This window comes from Homo sapiens, chromosome 1 (genome assembly GCF_000001405.40).
Source record: "Homo sapiens chromosome 1, GRCh38.p14 Primary Assembly".
Classification (NCBI taxonomy): Eukaryota; Metazoa; Chordata; class Mammalia; order Primates; family Hominidae; genus Homo; species Homo sapiens.
In genome coordinates, this window is record NC_000001.11 from 59,045,979 (window position 1) to 59,063,551 (window position 17,573).

At 42.9% G+C, this 17,573-nt stretch overlaps 1 long non-coding RNA gene across 1 annotated transcript in view, besides 2 other annotated features; it reads left to right on the forward strand.

Moving 5' to 3' along the window:
- LINC01358 (long intergenic non-protein coding RNA 1358) overlaps nucleotides 1-17,573 on the forward strand; it is a 67,772-nt gene that overhangs the window by 25,503 nt on the left and 24,696 nt on the right. The window lies entirely within an intron of this gene.
- Nucleotides 582-651: an enhancer, noted in NCBI's record as "active region_1106". NCBI's record gives its function as "activates an Ori minimal core promoter by ATAC-STARR-seq in GM12878 lymphoblastoid cells {active_cell/tissue: GM12878}" and the evidence as "EXISTENCE:reporter gene assay evidence [ECO:0000049][PMID:35858748]".
- Nucleotides 10,675-12,442: an enhancer, noted in NCBI's record as "VISTA enhancer hs1485". NCBI's record gives its function as "enhancer in: limb[3/5]" and the evidence as "EXISTENCE:transgenic organism evidence [ECO:0001131][PMID:17130149]".

Genomic DNA, 17,573 nt, shown 5'->3' on the forward strand with positions numbered 1-17,573 from the left:
CTGTTCTGTTGTGATAGCTCCTAACTGGGCTTCCTGCTTCCTCCTCTGTCACCTTCCAATCTATTCTTCATCCTAGAGCCAGAATTATCTTTCTACAACATGGAAGGAAGGGCCCTCCTCAAGAGCCTTCAGTGGCTTCCATTTGCACCTATAATTAAATCCTGATCCCTCACCATGACCTACAGGACCCTGTGTGACCTGGCCCTGCATCTCTCCTATGCTGACCCCCTACCACCAGGCACGATGGTCTGCTTTCAGCTTCTGAGGTCAACCATCCCTTCTTGCCTCAGGCCATGTGCTGGGATGGGGAGAGGAATATGGGTGAGTCATCTTCTCCATCCTTGAGGAGGTATAGTCAACTAGGGGAGACAGATATGGACACAAATAGACATGCAGTTCATAGAAAGCAAAGTAGCAGGGCTGTGCATATGGTACAGAAACAGCAAAGACTCATTCTGTTTAGGGACTTTTGTTTTGCAGTGATTTCCAACTCTGCTTCTAAAGTTTGAAGGTGTAGTTTTTCTTATTCGAACATTCCAATACTAGGCATTCCATTGCCCTGAGCCTCAGTCCTGCTACTGCCATTCAGAAGCTATGCCCACCGTGCAGGGGCATTGGAGGGAGTACACGAGGATATACATCAAACGTGCCAAGCGGAGGGCAGGGTCTCTGCAGGGATCAGGGACTCCCATGTTTCTGGAGCAGATTCAAGTTTTGATGTTGTGGGGACTTACCCTTCCTGAGCTTCAGTGGGAAACTAAGTATCCCCTGAAAAAACTGAGGTGTTAAGGAGGAGGCTTGAGGTTGGGCCTACAGCAAAAGAAAAGTTCCCCTCCACTTTAAGAAATCTCCCTCCTGTGGGTGTGGTAGTGAATGTGAAAGTAGAATCTGCCTCCTGGCCCCTGCACTTACCAGAAGGGGCAGTGGTACTTGCAAAGGAGTTACAGAAAGAGCAGCAGCTGAACAGGAACTGGGGCCACCGGTTCTGGGAAGCTGGGGCTTTGGGGGAAGCGCCTGGCAGACCCCAGTGTTTACAAACTTCAGGAGCACCTGAACCCCAGCCTGTGTTAGGCACAGAGCAAATTGTGGTGAGCTACTGGCACAAGTCCTCTGGAGCCAGAAAGTCAAGACAGAAAGCCAGGATGACTCCTCTAGGGCCCAGGGCTCACAGTTCCCTGGACAAACAGCCTCACTGTGGCCTCTGGGAAAAGGTGGGAGGCAGAGCAGGCTGGTGGGTTAGATATTCATTCATTCATTCCCAATTTCCTCATCTGTGAAATGGGGAAAGAAATTCCTTCCACGTCTACTTGGATTGTATATAGTGGGGAAGGGTAGAGAACAGGTTGCTATGGAGACCAAATGAGATAATACATTCAGTTATTCATTTAATATACACTAAGCACCTGCTACGATAAAAATAATAATGGGCACTTATTGAGTACCTAGTGTATGCCAGGCACTATGCTAACTACTTTAATCCTCACAATCATCCTCCGAGGTAGCTGCCCTGATTTCCATTTACAGATGAGGAAACTGAGGCTCAGAGAGATGACTTGCCCAGATCACACAGCTAGTCAGTGGTGGATCTGGGATTTGAGAGCCACAGTGTTAAATGGGGCTCAAGTCTCAGCTCCTGTACTAGAGTCAGGGATCTGCAAGGTCAGGAATTATCATTTATCAATCTCTGAATCTTCGGTGCTTAGGCCACGGCCCAGCACATAACAGCTGCTCACTAAATGTGGGTAGGCCTCTTGCATATCTACAAGACAAGGTGAGATGAAACAGTCTGGTGGGGAAGTCAGGGAAGCAAACCAGCAGCAGGTAATGTAACAGGATCTATAGCAGATGTGCCTTCAGAGAGCTCCCTGAGGTTTGTGCTGGGTCACACTGTGTACCAATCAGGGTCCCAACAGTCTGACAGCTCCCAGGAAATAGCAGATTTCAAGGAGGGATTATATGCAAAGGTGCAGATATAGAAGAATCACAAAAGAGAGAGTAGGCACTTAATAGCTCCTGAACTGTTCTCACAACTCTTAATAGCTGCTGAACTGTCCTGCAGAGTTGCTTTCCTCAGGAGGAGCAGTGAGGAACATGGCCAGTTCAGTGACGTTGCAAACAGTGTATCAAAGGAATATCATACTCTCTCCCTTCCTCTTTTCCCTCCCTCTGGTCTCCTGTGGCTCCCTGTTGGCCAAACCCAACTAGAAACAGAAGGTTCAAGAACCCACCAATTCAATCCCCATAGATCAACCTCTTGAATACAGAGCAGATGAGGAAAGGTAATGTATGGATCTAGAGGGGCAAATGAAAGGTATTCTGCATGGACCGTGATATAGTGTGGATGTGTGTCCCTACCCAAATTTCACGTTGAAATGTATCCCCTATGTTGGAGGTGGGGCCTGGTTGGAGGTGACTGGATCATGGGGGTGGATTTATCATAAATGATTTAGTACCATACCCTTAGTTCTGTCCTCATGATAGTGAGTTTTCGCATCTTGTGAGAGATGTCATTTAAAAGTGTGTGGCATGCTCCCCACTCCCTCTCTTGCTCCTGTTCTGGCTATGTGTTGTGCCTGCTCCCCCTTCACCTTCCACCATGATTGTAAGTTTCCTGAGGCCTCCCCAGAAGCCAAGTAGATGCCAGCATCATACTCTCTTTACAGCCTATGGAATCGTGAACCAGTTAAACCTCTTTTCTGTATAAATTACCCATCCACAGGCATTTCTTTACAGCAATGTGAGAATGGCCTAATATGGACTGGAAGGATATGCAGACTTTTCCTGGAAAGCAGAGTTGAGGAAGGACATCCCATCGAGGGAAAGAATGTGCAATCTTTTTGTGTGGAACGCTCAGAACATTCTAAGTACTTTGGCATAGCAAAGGCATAGGGAATGAGAGACAGCATGGTAGGAAATAAAAATGTGTTCAGAGAGTGGCAGGGGCTGGCTCATGGACAGCTAAGGCAGGGAGCACTATTCTGCAGGCACAGGGGACCATGAAGGGCAGTTAAGTATGGACTTCCTATGACTGCAGAGTGGGTAACGATTCGAGGAAAGGGAAGGGGTCTAGAGGCAGGGGTCTCCTTGGGAGGCACTGCAACCATCCTACAGAGATGAGGGTGAGGGTCGGAAGAAGCAGAAGCCTACCCTCTCTTAAGCAAGATGAAGACAAACGAGACCCGTGGACTCCATGGAGGCTGGATCTACATCACCATAGTGCCATTGCCTTCCTTCAAGGGCAAGTGAGGAACAGGTATGGCTGCTGGTCAGCCCTTGCACTGGGCTAGTGCTCAAGACCAGAGTGAGGTCTTAGTGTCCTGGGGAGAGTTCTGGATTAGGTTTCTTTTTGGGTGGAGGGAGGTTGTGAAGGGGACTTTGGGAGAGATTGCAAATCTGTAAATGGGCAAGGCTGCCTTGACCACTGAGAGAGGAAGAGAAGGATACAGGAGATCAGAAGATTAGAAGGAGCTGCCTTTGTTCTTAGAATATGTGGGAGGCCATGCTCAAGAGAAGAAATGGATGCCGAGAAGGGAATGTGTGTGCATCTGACACTAGGAAACAAATTGGAAGAAAATTGGTAGATTGCTTTGATTTTTTTTTTTCTTTTGCTAGTGTTAAAAATCATGGAGAACTGGGAGAGAAGGAGGGGAGTAGGGGAGACTGGGAGGATCAGAAGCAAACACTTCTGAGGTAATAAACAACCTGAAACGCAGAGAGGCTGGGAGAATAAGCAAAGATGAAGGTGTCTGCATTCAGAGCACATCACAGAAGGGCTGATGTTTTAGAGGTGAAGCATTTTTTTAGCTTCCAGGGATTATTTTGGGGGTTATGGTTTTTTCCAACATTGAAGTATAATAATGTCTGAATTTCTTGCAATAAGTTAGGTAACAAGTAATAACACGGGAGGTGGAATAGAAAAAGTAATACTTTACTTTAGTACAGCAACAGAACAACACCTTACATTGGGGCAGATTAGAACTGGGGCGAGGCTTGCAGATCTTACTTCTCCTTCTAAGTGGGGAAACTGAGGTCCAGTGAACGGGAAGTATCTTGCCCCAAATTATATATATACACTCCCACCTTCATTTGACCCTCATAAAGTATTTGGTTGGTACAAAGGTAATTGCAATTTTTGCCATCACTTTCAATGACAAAAACCACAATTACTTTTGTGCCAACCTAATATTTTAGACCAATATGGAGAGGAGACAGTATAGCGGAGGGGTTGGCAAACTTTTTCTCTAAAAAGACAGATAGCAAATATTTTGGGCTTTGGTGGGGGGGGTCACATATGATCAGTGTTGCATATTCTTTTTTAAAAAAAAAATCCTTTAAAAGCGTAAGAGCCATTTTCAGCTCACCAGCCATACAAAAATCAGGCCATGCAAAAACAGGCTGTCCAAAGAAAAACATGGTATTGAATTTTGACCTGGGTTTGAATTTTGCTTCTGCTGTGAACAGGTCATGTAACTTTTGGCAAGTTAATTAGACTTATTTTCCTTCTCTGTTAAATGACCACATCTACCTCACCAGGCTCCTAGGAAGACAGAAAGAGACATGTCTGGTCTCAAATCCTAGCTCTGCCATTTGTTTTCAGTGTGACTCTCGCTAATTAAACTCTCTGTCTCTCAGTTCCTTCATCTGCAAAATAAAGATAATAGTAGTACCAACTTTATATGACTGATATGTGGATGAAATGACCTATGTGTAAAACTCATAGAATAGTTTCTGCCATGTATAAGTGTTTTTTGTTTTTGTTTGTTTGTTTGTTTTGAGACAGAGTCTCGCACTGTTGCCTGGGCTGGAGTGCAATGGCATGATTTCGGCTCACTGCAACCTCTGCCTCCCAGGTTCAAGCGATTCTCCTGCCTCAGCCTCCCAAGTAGCTGGGATTACAGACATTCACCACCACGCCCAGCTAATTTTTTGTATTTTTAGTAGATATGGAGTTTCCCTATGTTAGCCAGGCTGGTCTCGAACTTCTGACCTCGTGATCCGCCCACCTTGGCCTCCCAAAGTGCCGGGTTTACAGGCGTGAGCCACCGCACCCAGCCGCCATGCATAAGTTTTACATAGTAATAAGTATTTCTTTTGTACCAGGTACGTTATATGTTCATATAACATTATTAGTATAACATAATATTTATATTATATTAAACACATATTTATATTGACATATTAATATATGACATTATTATAGGACATATAATACATAATAAATATATACAAATATTTATATATGGTATATATGGTAAATATATACTTCTATATTTATTAGGAGCAGTGAGGAACATGGCCAGTTCATCAAATTACCAATATTTGATCAATTTTGACCTACAAAAATGGGAACTTCAATATATATTATAATATATACAATATATTATATAGTATAATCAACACATTATATATTAATATATAATTAAATATAATATATAACACATTATATAATTAATATAAAATATATTGATTATAATATATAATGCATTGTATATCTTACAATGTATTTATATTAATATTATATCAATATAAATATAAGTGGATATTTATATTAATATTATATTAATATAATTATATTTATATAATATAAAATATATATTATATATTATATAATTATTATATATAATATATAATATATATTATATATAATAATTATATAATATATTATAATATATTTATATTAATATATTAATATAAATATAAGTGGATATTTATATTAATATAAATATATGTGGATATTAATATTATATAAACACATAAAGTACCTGGTGCAAGACAGATACTTGGCAAATAGTAGCTAACTGCCGGGCGCAGTGGCTCACGCCTGTAATCCCAGCACTTTGGGAGGCCGAGGTAGGCAGATCACCTGAGGTCAGGAGTTCGAGACCAGCCTCAACATGGAGAAACCCCATCTCTACTAAAAATACAAAATTAGCCAGGCGTGGTGGTGCATGCCTGTAATCCCAGCTACTCAGGAGGTTGAGGTAGGAGAATTGCTTGAACCTGGGAGGTGGAGGTTGCGGTGAGCCGAGATCACGCCATTGCACTCCAGCCTGGGCAAGAAGAGCGAAACTCCATCTCAAAAAAAAAAAAAAAAAAAAAAATAGTAGCTAACCATGGCAGCCACTCCCAAATGAGAAATCAGACTTTAGAAAATTAAGGAAGGTTGGGCCATATTGTAATGGCCTGGTCACGCCAGAGTTCACCTACAGTTCACTCTTAAGTCTGTCCTGTAGGATGCAGCAAGTAAGAGCGGCTGCATGAAAGTAAGCTCTGTTTCTCTGCCCATGTGCGGGGCTCCCACCTCCATCAGATAAGCACTTGTGTAACCTAAGTCTATTTTGATCTCAGTAGAGATCTGTGTACACATGCACACATTTGGCAGCCATGGGCTACAGCCCTGGTGCTCTTGCTTGCGATTCGAGCCATGTTATCAATACTTATGTGTGTAAACTTGAGAGATCAAAGCTATCTTGGTTGGGAAGGCTAATATTTAAATTCCAGACTTGCAGGCACAGCACTGAAATTCCATGGCTCAAGATCAAGTTCATGTATAAAATCAAGTCAAGCATTTGTTTGACACAGTTGTAGGGCTCTGGAGTGTGGGTGAGGTTTGAATTCAGGAGAAATTTAGGGGCCTGCCCAGAATGGAATTCTGTGAAATTCTAGCTGTGGATAGTTTTTAGGTTCAGTGATTTGTGTGATCGTAATTAGAGCAAACACATCTTCATGGCCCAGCTTTGGTAATCACAGAGATGTTTACAGTTTAGAAATAACACAAATCTGTAGCTCTCAAGCAGTAAGATCTGGAGATACCACCACTTACCTTGCAAGGCAATAGAAAAACTAAAGATACTGGACATAACTTTTGGAAACCTAATAGGCTCTCAACAAATGAGAGCTTTGTCTTTATAATTGTCCCTGCCATTCCCATTGTTCCGTCTCTCCCACCACCCTGGAACTTGTAGTCCTTGCAGACCAAGGACTACATCCTTTTGTGAAAGCAAATTGTCTTTTGTCTTCTGCCTACCTCAATGAACCTTTGGTGAGTACATTTCACAGGCTGGGTAGAATGTAAGGCTCATTGTGAGGGCAAAGGTGATTAAGATAGGCCCTCGAGGAGATGTGTCTGGCCATGGGTCACACATACTCTACTACTTATAATGCCATACAAATGACTTGGAAGCAGAGTAAACCCAGGTCTGTAGATTGACAGGAAAAGGAAAGATTCATTCTTCTGGTAGTAATGGATTAGCTTTCAAAGGGGAGCTGAACTCTGACTCCTTCTGTAACATAGTGTAACAAATGGCCAAGAAACCCAGGTTCAATTCCTGGCTCTGTCACTTTTTGAACTGTGTCATCTGGAGCAAATAGTTTAACCTCATTGAAACTTTAGTTTCTTTGTCTGTAGAATGGGGATGTAATTATTAGTACCTATCTCATGGAAGGGTTGGAAGAAAAAAATGAGATAACCCATGTAGCACTGCTCCCCATAAAGCTAGCACATGCTAACCATATTCGGCTACCATCATTATAAAAGGGAATCAACTTAACCCTTCATCTTAAAAACATGGTTTTCTTTTCTTATTCTGCTGACTTGAAATCAAATTAGTCATATTTTACATCCATATAACATCTTTAACACTTTTACATTAAGTGGAAATATATAAAATTGCCAATATTTGATCAATTTTGACCTACAAAAATGGGAACTTCATAATAGCTCTCCAAAGCACCCTCTTCTGCAATGGCTCATTTGATCTCCACAACAACTCTGTGAGTGTGTTGACTCCTCTGGGATTTCCTCCTATGACCTTTTTCTAAAAGATTCTCCTCCCCTGCTTCACATAGATGCAAAGACATTATCACAGGCAATAGTTACTACTGTTTGGTCCAAGGGTAAGCATATGGCCTAGCTGGACAAATAAGTCCCTTCCCTGAGATTTTACTTGTTTTTCTCATTAACTCATTTTATTTTTTGAGCAGAACCCTAGAGAGTTTTGTTAGCTTTTTTCCAGGAACTAAAGTTGTTGGATATTAAACACTGAATAAGTTGGTTGCTATGTTTTCTACCACTGATTTATGCAATTAATATTTATTGAGCATCTTCTATGCTCCAGACACTTCACTGGGTGCAAGGGACACAGAAATGCATAGGATTTTTGCCTTCAACATATTTTATTGTACTGAGAGACTGAAAGTAAGCAAGAAAACAAATAAATAAGTTAATACAGAGTGTGATAAATGCTGCGCTGGGACTATGTGGAAAGAACCAGGCTGTATTGAGAGAGAAGAATATCAATACACTGATAGAGACAGAGATGAAGCTGGAAGGAAGACTAGTGAAAATTGAGCCTCTGGCTCCAGCAGCACCTGAGGTCCAGCTCTGTTGCTGTCCCTCCAGCACCTGGATCATTTTGTTCTTCCATGGATTTCAAGAGCTGCCAAGACATTTCCCTCATTGTTATAGTTGCATTGAGTTAGGTTTCTGCCATTTGCAATCATAACAGTCCATTCTGATACAGCAATCTAGATGGGAGTGCTTCTTCTTCTCCCTGTATAAATGGTGCAAGTAAGGACTTCTTTGGGGAAGTGGGTCTGAAACTTGAGCTGCATCAAATACTTTTTGGATATGATACTTAAATATAAATCATAAATAAAATGTAGCCTGGGATGTCTCATGGGATTAAAAAATAGTTCAACTATAGCTGGGGTCATTGCTGTCATCAGCGTCTTTGACCATTTTTTATGGTCAACAATATTGAACGGCTGATAGGATCAGAGTATATCTGAAAGCTGCAAAGGACTTTAGGGATCATTAAATCAGATCTCATTTTAGAGATATTGAGAGGGAGGCCCAGAGCCCACACATGACATATTCAAAGTCACATAGCTTGAGAGCAGCCAGGTAAGATTTGAACCCAGGATGCCTGACTCTCAGTTTATTCTTAGGTTACTATTGACTGATCTATTCATTCATTCAACAAACATTTTGAGAGCCTATTGTATGTCTAGGTGCTGGAGCCACAGTGGTTCCTGCTCTGATAGAGTTCATTCTGACTGGGGGAAGAGAGACAACAAATAGAAAATCTGGTGGTGCATGTTGGGAAGAACTTGAAACAAGATGATATGAGAGAGTAAGACTCTGTGTACAGAGGGGAGGGAGGTCATGTTATTCCAAATGGAGTGGTCAGGGAAGGCTTCTCTGAAGAGGTGTCATTTAATTCAAGATCTGAAAGTACAGGTGAGTCAGCCATGTGAAGACTGGAGGGAAGCATATTCCAAAGGGAGGAAACAGGTGATGAAAAAGCTCTGGCAATGGAATGATTTGCCCAGTTCAAGGAACAAAAAGAGCGCTAGTGTGGCTGAAGCACAGTGAGAAGTGGAGAATGGAATGGTACCAACTGAAGTTGGAGAAGTTAGCAGGGGCCAGAGTGTTGCTTCCAGGGCCAAGGTAAAGGCCTGACTTTTTATCCCACGTGCAGCAGGGAGCCATTTGGGCATCTTTGAGCAAAGGAGCAACATGATCAAATTTGTCTTAAAACATGATTCCAATCACTTGCTGGACAACGGAGAATAAAAATAAAGAGTTAGCGGTGCAGACAAGAATGCTGGGAACCTGGACCATGGAGGTAGAGAGAAGAAGATGAATTTGAGGGGTGCCATGCAGGTAGAATGGATAGGACTTGCTGATGGCTTGGGTCTAGGGAAAGACAGACTCATGATCAATTGCTAAGTCCCAGGCTTTTTTGTCTTAAGAAATTAAATGGATGGTATTACCATGCACTGTGGGTAATTGGGGAAGATGAAAGTTTGAGGAGAAAATATAAATCAAGAGTTCTGCTTTGCGTATCACTCTACACCCTTGTGGTCTATATTTAAGGTCAAAAACAAAACATAAAAAAACCTGAAAAAGAATCACTAGAAAACCTTAGAGGATAGAGATCATGTAGCTCCGTTACAACACAGCTAGCCATCTGGTTTTCTTATCCGCCACTAATTAATCAATGTGAAGCAGCCAGATAAGTAATAATTACCATTATAACAAACCACAGAAAGATATCCAGAGATTGCCAAGAGGTCCATCCTAGTGTTAGAAGCAACCAGGTCAAACCCCATCAGAAGATGCCTAGTCAGACTGGGAGGGACATTCCAGGCAAAGGCACAGCTTGTATTCCAGAAGCTCAAAAATGGGCAGGAGCACAGTGACCTGGAACAGAGAGATAAAGGGACGCTCATGAGAGATTTACACTGTAGGATGATAGATCAGCATTTTATGTTGTAAGTGAGAGGCAAGTACAGGGAAATATCATCATGTGAAAAAGCTGGGAGGAAAAACAGACTCATTCATTTGTTCATTCATTCATACATTCATTCAACAAATTCTTATGGAGCCCAATCTTTGTGCACAACTGTTCTAGGTACAAGAACTAACAATGAACAGAACAAAGGGGTGTGTGATCCAGTCCTTGCTCTGTTCACTGAGCTCTGCCCAGCGGCTGGTTGCTTTCACACGAGGAAAACCTTTTTTTCTGCTCTCTTGGCACAAATTGCTGGAGCTGAATGTACCAGGGTGGGTGAAGGGGAGGATGAGGTCAGAGAGGTAACAGGGCCAGGCAAGCCATTGTCAGGATTTTGGATTTTACTGTGTACGGAATGTGTTTGCCAGAACAATGCGGGAGTTGCAGAGAGAGGTGTCCTGTGTTTGTTCCCAGTCTTCCTTCACTCACCTGCACCTGCTCCTGCCCTGCTTCGGCCAACATGTTCTATGCAGGTAGGTAAAAAAGTTGGAAATTTCATTTCTCTCCCTGTGTCTCTAAGATGACATCTATCAAACCTCTGATTCTCTTTTGGTTCTTTACAGAAACCCCACTTGAAATTTTCAGGTAGGATGGGGAGAAGGGCAAACCTATTGTTTCCTTCAAACCTAGTAATATCTAACTGAACCCTCTCTATCGGCAGGGTGGTTTTGCTGATGAGACAGCTGCAGTTTGGGGAGTGTGATATCAAGGAAAGCAGTGTCTTGAGTCTGTCACTTTCTCTCTCTGTCCCATTGGGTAAGTCAGTTCTCCTCTCTGGTTGAGAAGGAGAGGGTTTGGGACTCAAACTTTATTCTTGTTAAGTTTCCTTTCTCCTCTAATATTCCTTGAACACTTGTCAGTTTTTTCCATCTCAAAAGTTCCCCTCTTCAGGCTTTGAAATGTGTGAACTGTTGAAAAAGACTGGGAGGTGCAGAGTGAAGAGGGAATGGGGGCTGGGCAGGCCTAGAGGGGTCCAGCACCAAAGAGCAGCCAGAGCCCCGGGGGGCCGTCTTGGTGACTGCTGGGGAAAGTACTAGCTCTCCTCGCAGAGGGAGCTCTGACAGGCTCAATCCAAACCAGATGTGCAGCAGAGAGAGCACAGCCTATTACAAAGTGTTGTGAAATGGCCCAGGGGAGGTAAATAAGCAAAAACAGGCCAGTTGCCTAGCAGCACATACAACAAAACAAGCAGCCAATCCATTCGCATTGGACAGGGCAGAATAGCTTTCTGCAGTAGGGAAAAAGAGACAGGGAGGGTTTGAGTCTGATGAGGACCCAGGGGACCTGCTCTCCAGCAACCTGTTCCCACTCCCTCCAGGCCACTCCTATGCTGCGGGGTGGCAGGGCTGCCACTGGACCTGCTCAGCCTGGTTCCACAGCCTCGGGGGCTTTGCACCTGGCTAACCCACAGGGTCATGGTCAGGGCCTTCCCCCCAGTGGTGGATGGTTGGGGTGAGGGCTGTCTGCACCCACTCCTGAGAATGGTGCTTGGCTGTATCCACTAGGAGGGGACAGGACTACAAAAATCTGCTAAAGTTCTTTGACAAGGTGCTTTACATGTGACTCTCCGTCATTCATTCCTTCATATACCATGTATTTCTTGAGTACCGTCTATGTACCAGGCACTGTGACTGACTCCAGGAGGAGACGTAAAGGAAGAAAATAGAAACACTCTTTGCTCTCTAGGGATCTACAACCTATGGGAGGAGACAGAAATTAATAAGGAATTGCACAATCAAATGCATGATTGTAAATCATGCTGAATGCTTTAAAGGAAAAGAAAGGGGTTGAGGAGTTGGATTCAAACAAAGTATTCTGGGCAGGCCTCTTTTAGGAAGGCAAGTTGAAACTTAAAGAATGAGCAGGGATTAGCCAGGTAAAAAGAAGAGAAAGGGAGTCCCCAGAAGCAGGCAGGCAAAAAGGCCTTGAGGTGGGGAAGAGGTGGCTGCTTGGGGTAAATTACAAAAAAGAGAGTGGTGCTGGAGAACTGTCAGTGAAGGGGGTGGTGAAGTAGAGAGGGAGGCAGGGGCCAGATCAAGTAATCCTTTCCATGAGAAAAGGATATGAGATTTTGTCCTAAGTACAATGAGAAATCTTTGGGGTTTATTTACTGATGACAATACTGAGGAAGCTTCAGGAGTCCTGAGTTGATCAGATTCACTTTTTAAAATTAAAAAAAAAATTGTGAGACAGGGTCTCTGTTGCAAGTCTGGAGTGGTCTGATCATAGTTCACTGCAGACTCGAACTCCTGGGCTCAAGCAATTCTCCTGCTTCAGCCTCCCGAGTAGCTGGGACTACAGGCATGCGGCACCACACCCAGTATATTAACATTTTTAAAAGATTACTCCTGGGTACGACATGGCAATTCTGAAAGGGAATGAGAGAGGGGACAAGAGGGAGGGGTTAGGAGGCTAGGATTTTAGCAAAGTAAAAGTGTAGAAGTCCATAAACTGGCCCAAGGTCACAGGCAGAGCTGAGATCCAAGCCTGGACCTATGTGGTAACCACCAAGCTAGTGTCTCCAGGTTTCTGCCTCCCAAGACTAACTTGCTGGAGCCGTGGAAGCCACCTCAGCTCCTCTCCCAAGGAGTAAGTGTGTGTCTCCATCAGAGCTGGGGGGTAAGCAAGCACTGGCCTGGAAAGAACTCATTATGACAGTAGCTAGCCATGCCTTGCTGTCTGCCCCCCTCTGTCTGTCTCTCTCAAGCGCTGTCTCTCTCTCAATCTCTCTCTCTCATACACACACACACATGCACACACACACACATATACACACACAAATACCCTCCCTTCATTGTGACTCTACTCCCCCTACTCTCCCAGAACCTGAATTGAAAAAGCACTTTTTCTCCAGCTTCTCAGAATTTTCGGTAGTGTCAAATGTTCTCAAGGAATTCTTGCAGAGAAGAGCTCTTTGCAAGCACAGAATACATCCCAGTTGCTTTTGTAACCTCAGCATGAACTAGTGGTGACAGGTGACAGATGGACCATGAGTCTGGGAACTCAGTTTCGATTCAGGCTTTACAATGACTAGGTGTGCCTTACGAACTTTTTAAAGTGGGGACAAAAATTCTACTTGCTTTTCAGGATTATGAGGATTAAGTGAGACAATGTAGTATAGGAAAAGGCTTTGAAAATAGCAAAGCTGTGTATAAATATTCATTGTGATATTGACACAGATTCTGATCAATCAAAAGTTGCACCTGAATGGATTGGTGTTTTCCTGTCTCCCCACCTGTGACACACCTGTGCACAGAGTCAGGGGTGCAGCCCTTCCTTCCAGCATACATCTAATCCAGCTACCTCTCTATACATATCCTGCAGATGTTAAGCACATACAGGGCTAGCCCTCCTTTCTTACCATGCACACCATCAGCTTCATCCTCTGCCTGCTTCTGTTCATATCCTGGCAAAGGGAAATGAGAAAATTCTGGTCATCCCATAGCATCAAAGGCTTCTGTCCATAATATTACAAAATTCTACTAAATCGTGATATGGTAAGACATAATAATAAAGTGTTGTATTTGGATTATCTCGGTGATTCCAAGATATTAGTCATTTTTGATCCACCTTTGTTATTTTTGCCATATATGGGTATCATCATGTTATATTGCCGCCAATGCGCTTTAACGTCATTCAGTGTAGATTCAGTGAGCTCTGCAAGTCTGTGTCAGTGTATTAGTCCATTCTTACATTGCCATAAAGACATACCTGAGACTGGGCAATTAATTTTTTTAAAAAGAGGTTTAATTGGCTCATGGTTCTGCATGCTGTACAGGAAGCATGGCTGGGAAGGCCTCAGAAAACTTACAATCATGGTGGAAGGCAAAAGAGAAGCAGGCACGTCCTACATGGCCAGAGAAGGAAAAGAGGGTGAAGGGGGAGGTGTGATACACTTTTAAGCAACCAGATCTCATTAGACTTACTCACTATCACAAGAACAGCAAGGCAGAAATTCAACCCCATGATCCAATCATCTCCCAAACCCCTCCTCCAAAACTGGGGATTACAATTCAACATGAGATTTGGGCAGGGACACAGACCCAAACCATATCAGTTTATTTTATTCTACATCATGGATGTCTAGTGACCCTAAGCAGGAAAACACACTGCTGGAGTATTAAGCCAGCATTTACTCAAAAGGCCACTCCAGAGCCATTTCAGTTACTTTCATCTCTGTTCAACACCAGAAGTTTTATTAGTTATCATAATAGAAATTATAAATAGGGCTTTGTTAATGAAGTTAATGACTTTAAAGATACGTGGGTTAGGAGATTGTTTTGTTTTATTTTGTTTTGAGATGGAGTCTCACTCTGTCACCCAGGCTGGAGTGCAGTGGTGTGATCTCAGCTCACTGCAACTTCCACTTCCTGGGTTGAAGCAATTCTTCTGCCTCAGCCTCCTGAGTAGCTGGGACTACAGGTGCGTGCCACCATGACTAGTTAATTTTTGTATTTTTAGTACAGACAGGGTTTCACCTGCAGGGAGCTTTTTACCCTTCACTCTTTGGAATGATGACTGAAGCTTAATCTTTAAACAGTTGAGTCCAGCCACTGATTTAGAGCATTCTAATTGCTGCTATGGTGGCCATGACAATGGGCTCCTCAGATCTCAAACTACATGCAGCATAAGTGCCCTCATTGCTGGGCACTGGAATCCATCTCTGCACCTGCATCTGGGCCATGCTCCCACTGCTGCTCCCAGCCAATCACTGAGCACTCTGGGAGTACTAAAATAGGTCAGGTCCTGGGGAGATCGGGGGCTCCTCTGATGAGCCAACATTAGCTCAGGCCTCCCCAACAACATTGCCATACTTCTCTTAGAGGTGCACTGCAATCTAGACCCTTAATGCCCAATTTCCCTTCATTAATCCCCCCTCTCTTCTGCACTTGCATCACTTGCATTCTCTCCTACACTCCCAACTTCCTTTCCCTTGTCTCTCGTAGGCACTTTCCCTAATAAATTTCTCACACATTGAAGCCTATCTGGTGTCTGTCTGTTTCTCAGAGAACCCAGATGAGTGGTCCCTGGAGTGATCTGAGAAAACAATAAGAGGATGCAATGGTCTGAATATTTGTGTCCCCCAAAATTCATATGTTAAAACTTAATTATCAAGGTGATGATATTAGAAGGTGGGGCCTGTGGGAAGATGATTAGGTCATGTGTGTTCCACCCTTACAAGTGCCCTTATAAAAGAAACCCCAGAGAGGCAGCTAGACCCATTTCTACCATGTAAGGACACAGCTTCCAGGGTGTCAGGGTCCTGTCACATGGCAGTGAATGCCCAGTGGTGGCAGGGTCACCAGCAACATTGTAATAGATTGTTCTTGACCAGCATTGGGCTCTGCTTGATATCCAAGCCTCACCTTTGTGCCTTCTTGTTGATTCTGTAAGATAGATACAGGGTGTCCTAACACACATAGTGCCTTTGTATGGGTTTCTTAAAGGCGCGTCCCTCTTAGTAGATCATTAGAAAGAAGCAAACCTTTCTTCAAGCTGAACACAGCTTTCACTCACCCTCACCCAGGACCTTTCTGCTGGACAAAACCTGCACAACTCTACTTGGTAGCAGTAGCTATGCAAATACCACTTCAATTTACTTTTTTCTGTTGAATTCAACAAGAATTTGTTTGTTTGTGGCTGCATTTATGTGTTCACCCAACCTCACTTCCTTTTCATCCTGGACACACAGCTGACTACATTTCCCAGCCTGCCTTGCAGTTCTTTGGCTCTGTATAACTGAATTCTGGCCAATGGAATATGAAAAGAAGTGATGTACTTCCAGAGCTAGCCCACAAAAACTTCCCACTTCATCAGCTATTTGCTCTCTTTCCCCAGCTGCTCACTGATGTCACTTAGAGGAAGGCAGGGGCACAAGATGGGAGGACCCAGAGCTCCGGGTTCTTAAGTAAGTACATAGAACACAGCCCCTCCTGCCTCGCAGTCCCTTCATGCCAAGAAATAAAGTTGTACATAATGTCCAAGCATTGACACTTTGTGTTTGCCTGTTAAAGATGTTAACCCACCATGACAAATACACTGTTTGCAAACAAGAATCCTGATTAGTCCTGGTCTCCTTAGGTTACTTAATTTTGTCCGTGTCTTGTCATCTCAATTAACTTGTAAGTGCCTTAGAAATGAGAGCTAGGGTTTGAAATATACAGTTTTTCTTTATTTAATACCTAGCTCAGGGTATGCCTGTGGGTAAATTAGAGCCAGAAGATTATTTAGAAATATGTATTATTTCTCTCTGCCCCAGTTTCCTCTCCAACAGCATATATTTCACTAAAAAGGAAGACAGAAAGAGAAACAAACTAAGGTTTGGAGAAAGTAAAATCTTAGAAACTGAAAGAATATCAATGGAATATAATTATATACAACTGCTGGTTCTTAAATCAGTTTTCTATATTCACTGATTAGGAAAATAAAGTTGGAAAAATATTTTCTTTTCGTCCTTCCATAGTTTCTCAATAAAAGAAACTTCATTTGTCTTCTATCGCTGCATAACAACTTACTCCAAAACTTACTAGCTTAAAATAACAAACGTTTTTAATCTCAATTCTGTGAGTCAGGAATCTGGGTGTGGTTTGGCTGAGTGTCTCTGACTTAACGTCTCACAAGGTTGTAAGCAGTCAGCTGAGGCTGCAGTCTTATCTGAGGGCTATCAGGGGCAGGGATGGTGATCTGCTTCCGAGCTAACTCATGTGTTTGCAGGCTGTGGCCCCACAGTATGTGGGTCTCTCTATAGGACCACCTGATAATCCGGCAGCTAGTTTTCCCCAAAGTTGGCAATACAAGAGAGAGTACCTAAGATGGAAGCTACAGATTTTTTAAATAACCTAATCTTAGAAGTGGCATAATCAATCCTGCCATGAATGCTAGCATGTAAGTATCATTGGGGGCCATCACAGAAGCTACTTACCTTAGGAACGTTCTAGAATTTTTCAAAGAACCTTTATAAAGGACTATTGGAGTTTCCTGAGCTCTTTTCTATACCAGTTCTCCTCCTATTTCTTCTCCAAACCTAGCCTAATATGTCCATTTGTGCAGTGGTTCAGGATACAGAAAAAACACTTCGCTTACTTTTAAGAGAGAATTTGACATAAAGAATTGTTAACTAAGTGCTAAAGAACTATAATAACAAAAAGAGTAACAAGTGTTAGCAATTACAGGAAATAGTTAACAACCCCTACTGCTGAGGAAACAAAAGGAGAGGTTAGAATGATTAAAAGGCAGAAACTTGAAGGATTAGCCCCAGAGCACTCGAATACAGGT